Source organism: Homo sapiens, chromosome 6 (genome assembly GCF_000001405.40).
Source record: "Homo sapiens chromosome 6, GRCh38.p14 Primary Assembly".
Classification (NCBI taxonomy): Eukaryota; Metazoa; Chordata; class Mammalia; order Primates; family Hominidae; genus Homo; species Homo sapiens.
Genome location: NC_000006.12, coordinates 101,888,204 through 101,902,526, shown reverse-complemented (window position 1 = coordinate 101,902,526; position 14,323 = coordinate 101,888,204). Strand labels below are relative to the sequence as shown.

The following is a 14,323-nucleotide window of genomic DNA, read 5'->3' as shown; positions in this document are numbered from 1 at the left end:
CTAATTGTTTAGGTATAAACTTATTTAAATGAGCAAGAGGATAAACTGACATTTACTTTAAGTTTAGAATTGTTTCCGAGGTTGTAATTATCTTAATAACAACTTAACTTTTTACTTTTGCTTTCAAGGCTCTACAACCTTGTCATTATCTTCCACATATCCTTCTTCATACATTGTGTATATTTGTATGTCAATACATTCCACCCGAACTACCTGCTATTAACTTTTACAGCTTACTGTTTTTCCCTTCTCTTGAACATATTACATATTAGTGGTATCCTAGGGCCTGCTCATTCTGGCTTGCAATAACTAATTTTGCATCTCTTTTCCCAAATCTGTATTCGGTGACCCTCCCATTGGTAGTTTGATATTTGTTATTGTGGGAATATTTAAACTATGAAAATTGGCAAATGCTACAAAGGAAAGCCCTTTTCACTGCCATAGCCAATTATTAAACTATCATCACATCACTGAACAATAAATATCATTTAAATTTTTAAGCCAATTTTATAGATGATTCATGAATTGCTCGACATTATTTAATTGGTAGTGTTAGTACCAGAAAGTTACCAGATGTACATGGTGAAGTAGAAGGATTTTTGTACCTAACATTGTAATAATATGCTATTAAATGTATTATTTAGTAGATCCAAATGAATTTGAAAGGCTTAGTGAAATGATAACAATGATCAGTTCTACTGATTTGTAATATGTTAGTGATAACAAATTTAAATCGTGGTCAATTTTTTAAAATACATAATCTTAATGAAAAATAAATATGATTTAGTCTTAAATGGATAACTAAAAACAATAAAATAATCAACTTTAGAATTTATGACTTCTAACTTCCACTTAAAATTTATATTTGTTATAGGAAATTAACTTCATCAATAAGCTGATTACAGATCCTTATGACTTATTCTTATTACTTAAAGTTATAATGGTATACTGTATTTTAGTTTATTTAATGTAGCCAAGATTATTCCTTATTGTTATGAGATTATTATTTTATGAGATTGTTATGGGATTACAAATTATTATAATCATCTATTGATCATTTTATAATAAGATTTCTGAAGAAAAGTCATAATATTGTTTGCCATGAATTCAGGCAATTTTACAAATGTCAAAGTAAAATAAAAACTATAATTAGACATTCAAAACTGGATTCTATTTTTTAATATACAATGGCTATCATGTAGTTCCATTCACTGGCTATCAATATACATTTTTTTTCTAAAACACCCAATTGTCCAATCAAATTAAGAGTGGCTTTAAATTGAGAATAGTAAGGAAAATGGCTCACATATAATATTACATAAAAAAACATAGGTTTGTCTTGTAAAAAATTATTTCTTACCAATATAGCTATTTATTTGCAAATAAAATACCAAACTTAAAAAGTAGTTATTTTAAAAGAACTATGAGAGTGATTTACATTTGAATTAATCACAGGTCAAAAGCAAATGTTTAGCTTGCAGTAAAAACTTGCTAAGGATTTTAATAGCAGTAAATCCAGAATTAACAGACTTCAGGCAGACTGTCCTCAGATAAGTCAGAAGGTCAAGAGATTTCTAATAATAAAAAATAAAACTATGCTTTTTTTAAGAAAAAAAAAAACAAGGACACTCAGTAAGTAAATGATGTTATCAACAAGGACTTGAAGCTAGCATTGGAAAGGATAAAATCATCTGGCCATTTAAATTGAATTAACTAATATGCAATTATCTGGATGACACAAAAATAGCCACAGCTACCATCAAGATATAAGGCACGTAAAGTTTTCTTTTTTGCAGGAAATTTTACCTATAAAAATAATTTTTATAACATCTTTCACAAAGCTGAATGACTTGTGGGTTTTCTACATCCCCACTAAATAAATTGGAAATGTCTTTTGAAAATAGACACTCTATTGTATCAAACAAATCAATAAAATATTTTAAAATTATATATATGCATTCTATACACAGTTTACTACCTAAAACAACTGAAATATGTTTGGAAATCATGTATTACTTTTGTTTTCAACTAAAATATCAAAATAAATATATATTTTGTAGTTGTTGTTGTTGCCCAGGCTGGAGTGCAATGGCGCGATCTCGGCTCACGATCTCGGCTCACCGCTACCTCTGCCTCCCAGGTTCAAGCGATTCTCCTGCCTCAGCCTCCCTAGTAGCTGGGATTACAGGCATGTGCCACCACGCCCGGCTAATTTTATATTTTTAGTGGAGACGGGGTTTCTCTATGTTGGTCAGGCTGGTCTTGAACTCCTGACCTCAGGTGATCTGCCCACCTCGGCCTCCCAAAGTGCTGGGATTACAAGCGTGAGCCACAGCGCCTGGCTCCAAAATAAATATGTTTAAATTCTTAGGTGGATGATTTAAAACATTATTTTTAATATCTTCCTAAATATTGAAGCTCTAATTGAAAATTGAAGTAGTAATATCAACATTTTAAAATAAATACACATTTCTCTAAGTATGAATCTTATTTTTGTATGTCCATTTACAAGCAAAATTTTCTCTATTTTTAATGTTTCTTATTTTGTAAAATCACTAGATTATTACCAGTTTCCAAAACATATCTTCAGTCTAGTGAATTGCTGAACTTATACTGAAATACACCTCCCAGCACCCCCCATTACCAAGAATAGTAAGGGAAGCAGGGAAACACTTACCTAATTTTATTATGTTAAAATAATATTCAGGTGCATATTCTGAACCAACTTAGATGACAGTTGTAGCCCTATTCTGTTTATAACTTTATCATGCCAGTAACATTCAAAACCTACAATTTCACCTTTGCTTCAAATATTAAGTTTATCCATTTAATAGGAAAATTTACTGCAAATGCGTTCATCTCATTTTATCATCTCAGGTGTAGTCAGAAGCCCATGAGAAAGCGAAATGTTAAAAGTAATTAATTTAGGATTTAACATCTCTTATAAAGAATAGCAGGAAACTATGTTATATCCAGGCGGGGAAAGAGAAAAATCATCCTTTATATAAGTTAGAAGGTATTAAAACTGAAAGTCTGTTTCAATCAATGCTCATTAAATAAAATAGAAAAAATAACTATAGGCTTGAAATGCAAATACATATAATAACTTCATTAATATGGTTTACTGTCATTAGGAATGAAACGTGAATTTCTGGGCTTCCAAACAAAATTTCAAAAATGAGTATAAAATCAACAAGTTTCTTAGAGAGATAACTTTATATTTTCATAGTCAGCTTTATTACACAAGAGCTAACTAGAAAAACTATACATATTAAAAGTTAATAGAATAGTTTGCATGGTCATTTGTTTTACTAATTATATTTATATACGAAATAGATCAACCAAGATATTTCTATCCAAAGATATTGAAATTCCCATTACTATTTAGGACAGCCACGATATTTTTTCTTAAAAAAAAAAAAAACAAAAACAACAAAAAGAAACCTCTCTCTTTCTATATATGTATACCCAACAGGATTGATATGAAAACAGTTTAACTTGAATGATGTAATTATGTAATGGAATGTAAAAAATTATAGCAATTAAGGTGTTGTGAGATGCTCTAATGAATGAAGTTACACTGGTTGATGACACTATATCTCCTACTCATTAATTATTTGGATAGAGTGCATAATTTTACTTAGTATAAAGAAAGATGTGATTTATCACTAAAATTTTGTCTGTACATTATTATTTAACATTGATATTTCTCTCATATCCATGAATTATGAAAAAACAATACTAATACCACTTGAGTCTTCAGAAAAACTCACAATGTTGTTTTATTCTTTTAATACACGTAGCTAATAATTTTCAGGGAAAAAGTGTTAGCATTTCCAGAGACTAGCTTTATAACACGTAGCTAATAATTTTCAGGGAAAAAGTGTTAGCATTTCCAGAGACTAGCTTTATAAAGCAAATCTACACATTTGGTTGCTAATGTCTCCTGTCTAGGTGCCCAGTTGATTGGAAAGTTTTCAAGCTTTCTTATTTGCAATCTAAAGAAAAAGACATACTTCTTAAGTACAGCTAACTAAGGATTTTTTTTTCAAGGAATTATCTGTTACTGTAAAACCGTATACTACTAACATGTAGTAAAAATATTTAATAGAGCATACTTTAAATAAAAAAAACTGCCAAGTTTCTAAATTTTGGGAAGAAAAACTAGAAGGTAAAGTTAACATGATAGGCAAAACAAATCAAGTGATACAAATGCTTTTCTGAATATGTTTTCCATTTTCTTCTAAATTTATTTTTTCTTTAGTGTCACATTCTTCTTCATAATAAGTTAAAATTAAAAAGTGTTACAATAACAGCATTCAACAAAAAGAAAACATCTCTAATCTCATTTGTGGTGAGGGTGAGGGGCTGGGGGCTGCTATATATGTATTTATTCCTTAAATCATATCATAAAAACACACAGTTACTAATTTTAAAAAAAGGTAATAAATGAATCTCTTTATAGTTCTCAAATATAATCTGGCTACTGTTGACATGCAATACGTATTAGTTTTCTTCTTTTTTCTCTCAATTGTCCCTCACCTGACCCACCACTCTGGTACAAGACTGCATAGACAACCATCCATTTGAAAGGACTCTTACCCCAAATAATTTACAGCAAAAGGACAGCTTTATCCAAGTAAAATTGTAACTAATTTAAGTGTCATGTTTGGCATTAAAGAAAAAAAATACTGACCTATTTTTCTACATTTCTCAAGACAATTGCCTTTTTATGAGCACAGTACTCCTAATCATTAAGACATACAGAATGAAAGAAAAATACCTAGTAAACAATTCTTTATTTCTTCATTATCTTTATGTCACTGGCTTCCTGCACAGACTTCACTTTTTAAAGGTATATGTTCATATAAAAGATGTCGCCTGTCTTTACTAGACATTGTGGATTAAAATATTTCATTTAAAAAAATTGAAATTTTTTAAAGCCACTGATTTTGCTGGAATAGTTGTTTCAGATTGAGAAGACCTTTCTTAGGTTGACTGAGAAAGCTTCCAAAAAGACCAAGGGCACCATTTTTCCAGTGGCTATGGAAAACAGAAGTGAAATTTTGTTTTGAGAATTACCACAGACAGACCAGCCTGGAGAGGTGTATTCTTACAAGCAATTCACAGTATTCTGCCGCTATGAAAAAATGTTGCTATCTAGAAACAACAAAACATAAAAGAAAAAGTGTATCACTTGGTAAAAAATGATTGTTTTTCCTTATCCTGTTGGTTCTTAAAAGACACCTCAAAAAAATATTTATTCTGGTCCAAAAAAAAGGAAGAAAGGAAAAAGAAAAAAAGAATAAAGTGGAAGATAAACCAGTATTATTCTTGTCCTATTAGCTTCTCAGCTTGAATTAGCTAGTGAGAAATGTATAAAAGACACATTAGTAACTGCCAAAGAACCCACTACACTCCATTGTCCAAATCTTTAAAAAAATTTTTTATACGTGTGCTGCTCTTATCAGATGTGTGTGCATGTGTATGTGTCTGTGTGTGTGTGTGTGTGTGTGTGTGTGTGTGTGTTAAATACAATGACATGTTCCATAAAGAATTGATTAAGAACAGAGGTGCCATTTTTTGGTAGCAAATATAAGAATTTAATAAGCGTTGTACTTCAAGTTTTAGCACTCTGAGTTTCTTCATATCACCCCATAAACTGTAACTTATTATAATTAATTTTGTGATTTACTGAGCTAGACATTATGAAACTTCTAAATGGAAACAAATCATCACAGATGACCATAGTTCTCAGAAGTTCATTGGCCAAGATATTTTTCCAGTGGAAACACTTAAAATGACTAGAAAGAGGAAGTCTTTTTGCTTCCAGGAGTCTTTCCACTCAATTCTGGTGATGGAGGCAAAGAAGGATACAGAGGCCAATAATTTATCCATAGAATTTGAAAAATAAAGATGGGCTATCAAATTTCTGCTCTTGCGTTTATACTTAATTTTGGCCTAACAATAAATTATATTTATGTGAAAAAAATAATTTGTAGATTGATGTAGATACTTCTAAAAAATAAATAAGCATGTTTATCCTTAAAAAATGCCAACTAGCATTTGATTACAGAAAATTACAGAAAAAGCACATTAATTTTAAATTGCCTTTGTCTTACTCAATTTTTTCTCAAATCTTTTACACCTGTAAATGTCTGGCATAATTTAAAAATTGAGAGGTGGAAAATATGTTTGATTTCTCCTCTGAAGATTAAATTATCTTCTTTGTCCTACATGGATACTTTCAGTCAAGAGCTCTGTTGCCTCAATTACCTCAATACCATATTTATCACAACTGAAAAGAAGTCATTGATTCAACTTAGTTTCAATTGGTTTGGTTCTACTAAAGATACAAACTAAGAATTTTTTCTGGGTTGGTGACTCCACATATACTTGCAACCATAAACATCACTGGAACCACTAAAATAAAGAGGTACATTGTAACAAAAAATAATAATTTTAAAAATATTATTTAGTGCAGAAGTAGCCTCATCTACTATGGAAATATTTTAATCCACAGTTTGAAAATATATCTAATTTTCATCAATGTTTACTTTTAGGTCCATAATTTAGATAAATATTTGTCAATATTTAATCAATTTTAGCAATCACTTTAATATGTGACAGGCATATTAGCAGAACAGCACGTATTTAAAACTAAATTTTCAGTAAATTTTAGGAAAATTGCTAAGTGTGAAGAATAATAATAAATAGGCTTTTCTGCAATTTATTTAAGTAAAAAATAGGACATTAAAAATAAAATATATCTAAAGTTATGTTATGGAAAGTTAAAATTGAAATCGTTTTTTTTGGTAAAAAGCTGGCAAGTTGGTGGCAAAGACAAACAACAAAATTGGCATTTCATTTTAATGTGACAACAGTCGTTTTGACAGCGGATTAGTTTAACACTGAACATCCCACCAAAACAGTTATCTATTTTTAAGTGCATAATAATTCAATGTTGTCCTTCACCGTACATTAAATGTCACCCATCACTGTGACAAAAATATGAAAGCTATTGCACGCTAGTCCATAGCTGAGATCAAAGCTGTTAATGTAAGCACTTTGGATATGGTTTTCTAAAGTCAGTTCAACCATCAAACAGTTAAGCCAAAATATAAAGTTAAGACAGTGTTGGTGGTCACTGTAAATAATAAACCATTGAGTAGATTCTGGGGAGTCCATGCCCTGCTGCCTAACCCACTAATATGATAGATAATATTCTAATACTCTAAAAATAATTAAAGGCAATTATATACAGAAATGCACAAAAAATTCCTATATTCTTTTAACTTAGAAAAATGTTATGCATGTAACACATTGAATATTCTTTGATTTACTCTTCTAGCTAAGAAGTCCAGGTTACTTAATACTGTTTGCCTTCCTTTACACTTTCTCCTCTATTTGACCCTAATCATTTGTTCATTTAAATAGCCTAATGCATTTTTATGTAATAGTACTCATATTGCAAAATTTGGTATAGTAATTTATTCTCCAAAGTTTATTTGTATTTGTAAATGCCAATTTCAAAATAAGATATGCACTATTAAAGACTTAGTGAATAATTATTAAGGTTACATCAATCCTGTTGGAGGGATATGTGTGTACCATTATTCCTTTCTTTTAGGTTTGGTCTTCAGTTATTCATCTCTGTACATCAAACTGCTAAGAACCCTAGACCAATAATGAATTTCAGAACAGCTCAATTTTCTTGGAGATATATATGGTTAAGAGGAAAAAAAACCTAACATATATGGGAATTTTAATGGAGTCATTTTATAAACATTTTCTATTATATCAATAGTAGCTTTAGTTTAATAAAATAAATATTTGAAGCAAGGTGAAAAATATATTTTATTATTAATGTAAGGGGTGGGTGCCCTAACCAGACTTTTTATATGACTAACTGCCATCTCTATAATCATATGCCTAGGTGAAAGAAAAGAGAAAGAAAAAGGAGGAGAAAACATTTAGGGGAAAATCTGAGTAAGCATGAACCCATCCCGGACAAGATTTCTTCCTAATTCTCTGTCAGCAAAGAGCTACCATTAGAATTTTGGGATAAGGTCATTCTATGTCTAGAAAGCACTATCCCAGGCTAATCCTTACTCTTAATTAACATTCAGAGCTAATTCAGATAAGCATGCTGATTATGTCATTATGCTATAAATAATAATATAACTGCTTACAGGAGATCATAAAATATAAAACTATATGGAGACAAAAACCAACACCATACATCTCCTTCTCAGTATTGGTTAAATATATTTAAAACATTTATTAAGTATTCTTAGATATTTTTTCTTAACATGTGAGGGGAAATTTTTAAAAGGCATTGACAAAATAATCTACTTTTAAATCCAATTTTAAAAACATAAATTCTAACAATTATTATTAGATCTTAATTTGTAATAAAATTAATATTATTAATATGATAGTAGAGCAGATATTCAATAAGCTTCTAATCTAGTAGTCTAATGACAACATAACAATCTTCCTCATATTTCCTTTCTAGTTGTATGTTTCTCTCCAGCAAAATATATATTACAAGATATTTTTCAGAAAAGCGTATTTAAAATACATGGCATTCTTACAGAATTTAAGATGATTTAAGTATTATTATAAATTTATTCAAGGGTAATAGATATATATTGCCAGATATATGCACTGATTGTGAGTTATTAGTGAAAATAACATATTCAGTTGGGTTCATTCTGGGATTCAAGCATTTGGCACAACTCTTAGTACTTACGGGTAGCCAATAGATATTGTTGAATAAATAAATGAATAAATGAGAAATAAATGTTTAATATTTTATGGGATCTAATTAGTGCTTACTAGAGGCTCAACAAATATTTGACTAATTGAGTGAGCAGTTGATAGAATAATTAAACAAAAGAGGAAACAAAACCAATCAAAGGTGTGGTTTGGTAGCTAAGAAGATATAGCAGGTTAATTGTAATAATAATAACAGAAATGACATCAGATAATGACCAAAACAAAAGTAAAATTAATAATGTTGAGAAATTTTGACAATATTTAAATCACTCATTATAATTTAGTTTTGAGATACAGCGTTTTTATTCCTAAGTATTACATAATTCCCTAACAGTTAATATTATGTAGATTCCAATAATTAATAAATACGAAATCTGTTATTAAAGTGGTAGTTATTTTATGCCTTTGTTTCTGTGACCTTCAATGAAAATAAAATACATACTTAAGAATTTTTTGAAACATGATCTTTCTTTTATCTATAATTGTTATGGAGACAAAGAATATACTTAAAATACCATATTAATTATGATATCAACAATTATGTCAATGAGTATATCAGTGACCTCTATATGACATAAGACATAATTTTTTCGATAGGTAAAATAAAAATGCTAAAGGAAGCATTAAAATAAATGTATTTTAAATTCTAACAGATAGTGATTCCATTTAAATTACAAAGGCAATTAAATTATACAGTTTAAACTTGAACATTTTATTTGCCTTTGCATGTCACAAACTTCTTTTATAGTAAAAGTTCAATACTATGTCAGAGTATATTTTAATTAAACAAATTCATTTGATTTTTGGATGTTCAGAATTTAAAATTTAAATTGACCATATTCAGACTTTGCTTTTAATCTGATTTTTCAGTTTTATTTTTTCAAATTCAGAAATATTTTAAACAAGATTATTTTAAGATTGAAAATTGAACAAAATATTCTGAGAAAATCCAGAAAATATTTATCCTTGTGTTATTACTTTACCAAGAATCTCTAATATTATATATTGCTTAATACAGTTTGTCTACCATTATTACTTAATGCAATATCTATTAATTCACCCATAAATGATGATTTAAACTTATTTTTTTATGAGGCAATTTGTTTTGAAATTGTGGAATAAGAAGCTGAAATAGTATCATTTTCCTATCTGTTCACTTAAAAACTATGACAAAATATAACAGTAACATTTCAAAATATAAAAGCAGTAGCAGTAAAAAAAAAACTGGTACATTAGCTGACTTTATGTTCTCAAATAGGATGACATACTTGAATTTCTTTCACGTAAAATCAGTACAGATTACCATAATTATACAGATGCTGTCTATGATGGTTTATCAAGTGAGTTACAGAAATATTTTGAAAAGTTAGATAAGTGCATATCCATCCATATGCCTCTATTTGCAAATGTACTTTTTTAAGCTAGAAAGGAAACCAGATGTTTCAGTATTTGCTTTGAATCTAACTTCAAAAGCCGTGGGCTTGGAAAATTAGGAATAACTAAATTTCCTAATACAAATTTGAAGTAACCCAAAACTCTGTGTCTAAGACCTCCAGAAAAGTACTGTTAGACCTAATTCAGCTTGACTAATGCCCACACAGTTACCTCGAAGTTGTCTCATGACACTTTCGTCTAGGCTTTATTTCTATCCTCCTGGGAAATTTGTTAATTTAAAAAAAAACAAGGGTACATGCAAACATTAAGGAAGACTTTTTGTATATTTTGGAGTATTTATTTTTCTGTTTGACCTGTGGGCTGGCTGAAGAGTTTTCTAGGCACTGAATTGCTTAATCTGAAACTCTTGCACTTATTTCTCTGAACACATAAACTAGAGTGGCTGTGTCTGTCACTATAAAAAAGATGCAGTTGGTCTAAAGATGATAAAAAATGTGAAGGCTGTTTTATTTTCACAGAAGGTAGAAAAAGCTGGAGCTAAAATGTTAGGAACTTCATACTTCAAATTCTCATTACTGTGGGGAGAACCCCAAAAGTCACATAAAATTTTAATAAGCTCTACTGTACAGCTTCAAATGCTATATGGCAATATGCTTCCAATACATAGTTTTAGGCAAATGCAAATAATAATTATCTGAAGAACACAATTCTTAATATCTAACTAATTAGGTAAAAATAATGCATTTGTAAAATAATTACATATAAATATGTAAAAAATTATCTGTGTGCAAATATATAAAAATATAATCCACCTTTTTTTTTTTTTTTTTTTTTGAGATGGAGTCCTGCTATATCTCCCAGGCTGGAGTGCAGTGGCACGATCTCGGCTTACTGCAACCTCCACCTCCCAGGTTCAAGCGATTCTCCTGCCTCAGCCTCCCAAGTATCTGGGACTACAGGTGCACACCACCACGCCCAGTTAATTTTTGTATTTTTAGTAAAGACGGGGTTTCACCATTTTGGCCAGGATGGTCTCAATCTCCTGACTTTGTGATCCGCCCGCCTTGGCCTCCCAAAGTGCTGGGATTACAGGCGTGAGCAACCACACCCGGCCAATATTATGCTACTTCTAATTGATTTAAATCAATTTTTAACTGAATGAACTAAAGATTTTTATGGCTAGAAAAAAAATACATTACTTCATTGGAAAAAAAAAAGTTTAATTCCTTATTGAAAAATGAGTTCGATTATTTACAAATACCCTTACTGATAAATTTATCAAAAGAATCCATGTAATGTAATTGAAAAGGCACTGCATATTTAATTTTGTTTATACAGCACAAAACATATATATATATATATATATATATATATGTACACTTTATAGGTATTTTTATCTCCATGAAAAATTATGTGTAGAATTCTAATTGATTTTTAATTCAGAGTTATCTTTTTGATATTTAAAAAAACGTAAAAATTCAAAGAATATAATGAATATGTGGCTTAACTCCATGTCAATAGAGTCATCAGTCCTGAGGCACAATACTAATCTTCTTAATTAAAGCAAAAGTTAAATTAAATCATATTGACACAATCTATCAGTTGAAAGTTTGATAGTGAGGTAGGCATAAATAAACATGATTATAAATTTACACCTCCGAGAGTAAAATAAAGTAATACCATCAACATAGATTGATCTGTATCACAGATTTTAAAGGCCACTATTAAAATATAAAATTTATATATTTTTCATTTAGGCATTTTTTCTTAATTTTTATTATTTATAGAGATAGAGTCTCCCTATGTTGACCAGGCTGGTCTCAAACCCCTGACCTCAAGGCAATCCTCCTATCTTGGGCTCCCAAAGTGTTTGGATTATAGGCATCAGCCACCTTGCCAGCTTGGCATTTTATCTTCTGATCCTATGACTTGAAACATACCCTACATGTCAATGACAATAAAGTACTTTTGGTAATGACATTTATTCTGTGAAAAAACAAGAAAAAAACCACAAATATTATGTAGAATACTAAGGTAGTCCTTTTATAGTTAGAATGTTTATTATAAATGTCTTGGTTCCTTAAAAAAGGCCTCCTTTTAAATTTTAGTACTTTGGTTTTTCTTATAACTGAATTATTAACTCAAGTTAGTAAAACATGTTATTTTAGTTTTGGTTCTTCAGAAATCTTCGAAGTGAGGCAATGATTCATTTATCATATTGATTTAAAAAGCTTTTATATTCTGGTTAAGAAAACAGTAATCCCTATAACACTTATAGCTTACTGACACAACCAGCATGCTCTCTGCCCACAAAGACAGGACAGTACATTTTAATAAATGAATGTGATTCTTAAAATTTCATTATTTCTCAGCACCCCATGGAAAATAAAGAACAGAAAAAGTAAAATTGATTGTGACTTTTGACAATTATTAGTTAGATAAAGGAGGTAACAATTGCCAAAAAAATCACAAAAGTGAGCATGTTACCTGGCTATGACAAAGAGCACACAACTGACACCCAAGTAAGCCAGCAGAATATACATCCAGATATCAGGGGAGAGAGGATTCAGGAAGGAGAAGACGCCTGGGTTTGTACCATTGGGCTTGCGGTACAAAATACTTATTCCAAGTGTCATAAAGGGCTTGGAAAAGTCGATGACCTTCTCTCGAACATAGGTAATAGCCAGTGGAGCAACTGCAAGGTCAGCTTTCTGTAGACAGAAACAAACAAAAAAAAAAAAAAAAGAAAGAAAGAAAGAGAGAAAAAATTGATTTTCAGTCACAAGAAAAAATCAGTAATCAAATTAAATAAAACAAAGGCTTTACACTTAATTGCCTCAGTAACGATTATGTTAAAATTTAAAGCATTCCTTACTCTGAAGTAAAGAATCTGATTTATTGCACTAATCATTTCTATGTTCTTCTAGATTAGCAAATCAGCATTTATTGGAAGTAGATATAGAAAAAAAAACTTCATAGAATTAAAAAACTGAAGAAACTATTGTACACTCAGTACATGAATTATGCTACTAGACTTTTCAAAATTGCTTTTATTTTAAACTTTAAAAATCTATTTAATATTAATTATTTTCTTAATACATTGGTCAAATTATAATAGTAATAATAACTACATCAAATTATATAGCTGAGAATTAACAGACATTTCTGATTTTAAAATATAGAATACAGTTAAAAGATTTTAGTCTTTAAATAGTTAAAATATTGTTTGAAACATCTCTCAGTGTGATTCTGTTTACTACCTCTGAATTTTGTTTCTATCCCTCTAATTTGTTTTATATTATTTAATGAAAATCCTTGCAGCCTTGCCTAAATCGCATTAGGAAATGAGTTTTTCCATTTTCACAAAGTTGCTAATTTTCCACAGTAGCTTAAATATGTTGAATTAGTAATGCTTTTCACTCACCAGGTTATAATCATCTGTCAAAGATGAACTTAAGCTCTAATATATTGTAAGAAATAATTACAATATTTTAAAATAATGAAAGCATCTGTGATGAGAAGCTATATTGCTACATTCATTTTATTATTAATAAATGTAAAAACTTTCAAAGAGTAAAGAACAAAATGTTCACCGTCAAGAGTTAGAGAAAGACATAAAAAAATGAAATTATCCCTCCATGTTTTCTTGTCTCAGGCAATGTCAAAGGACTTAACGAAGAAACTTAGAAAAGTTTGTTGACAATATTATTCTCTGTGTGTGTTTTTGTGCATTTGTGTGTTGGTGGTGTGCAGAGAAAGAACATTGAAATGCTTGGAAAGAGTATCTTTGAGAGGGGCTACGGAGAAAGATATTTCTCTAAAAACTAGGAAGAAAAAGGTTTTAAAAATTCTGGGGGAGAGCATCATCACATTTCATATTCATAAATCAAATAAAATATCAATTTAAAACAATAATTGCTAATATTCTTTAGGTAGCTGCTGTACAACAGCACTATGTTAAGAACTTCACAGGAATTGTCACATTCCCCATAAAACTTACATAATCCTACTATTATTTCCTGTTTCAGATAAGGAAAATGAAACCTTGCGAAGTTAGAAAACTTGTTCATTTTCATAGAGTTAATTAATCATTGGAACCAGGATATAAAGTCAAGGTGTGGGAATCTATACCTAGAGTGTAACCATG

General features: G+C 29.8%; 1 protein-coding gene across 8 annotated transcripts in view; it reads right to left on the bottom strand.

Annotated features, from left to right (window-relative positions):
- Positions 1–14,323, bottom strand: part of GRIK2 (glutamate ionotropic receptor kainate type subunit 2) — a 676,376-nt gene that overhangs the window by 167,557 nt on the left and 494,496 nt on the right. For all 8 annotated transcript variants that reach the window (XM_047418681.1, NM_021956.5, XM_047418682.1 and 5 more), the window contains one exon: positions 12,664–12,887. In XM_047418681.1, the coding sequence (XP_047274637.1) occupies positions 12,664–12,887 (224 nt within the window). The remainder of the gene's footprint in view (positions 1–12,663; positions 12,888–14,323) is intronic.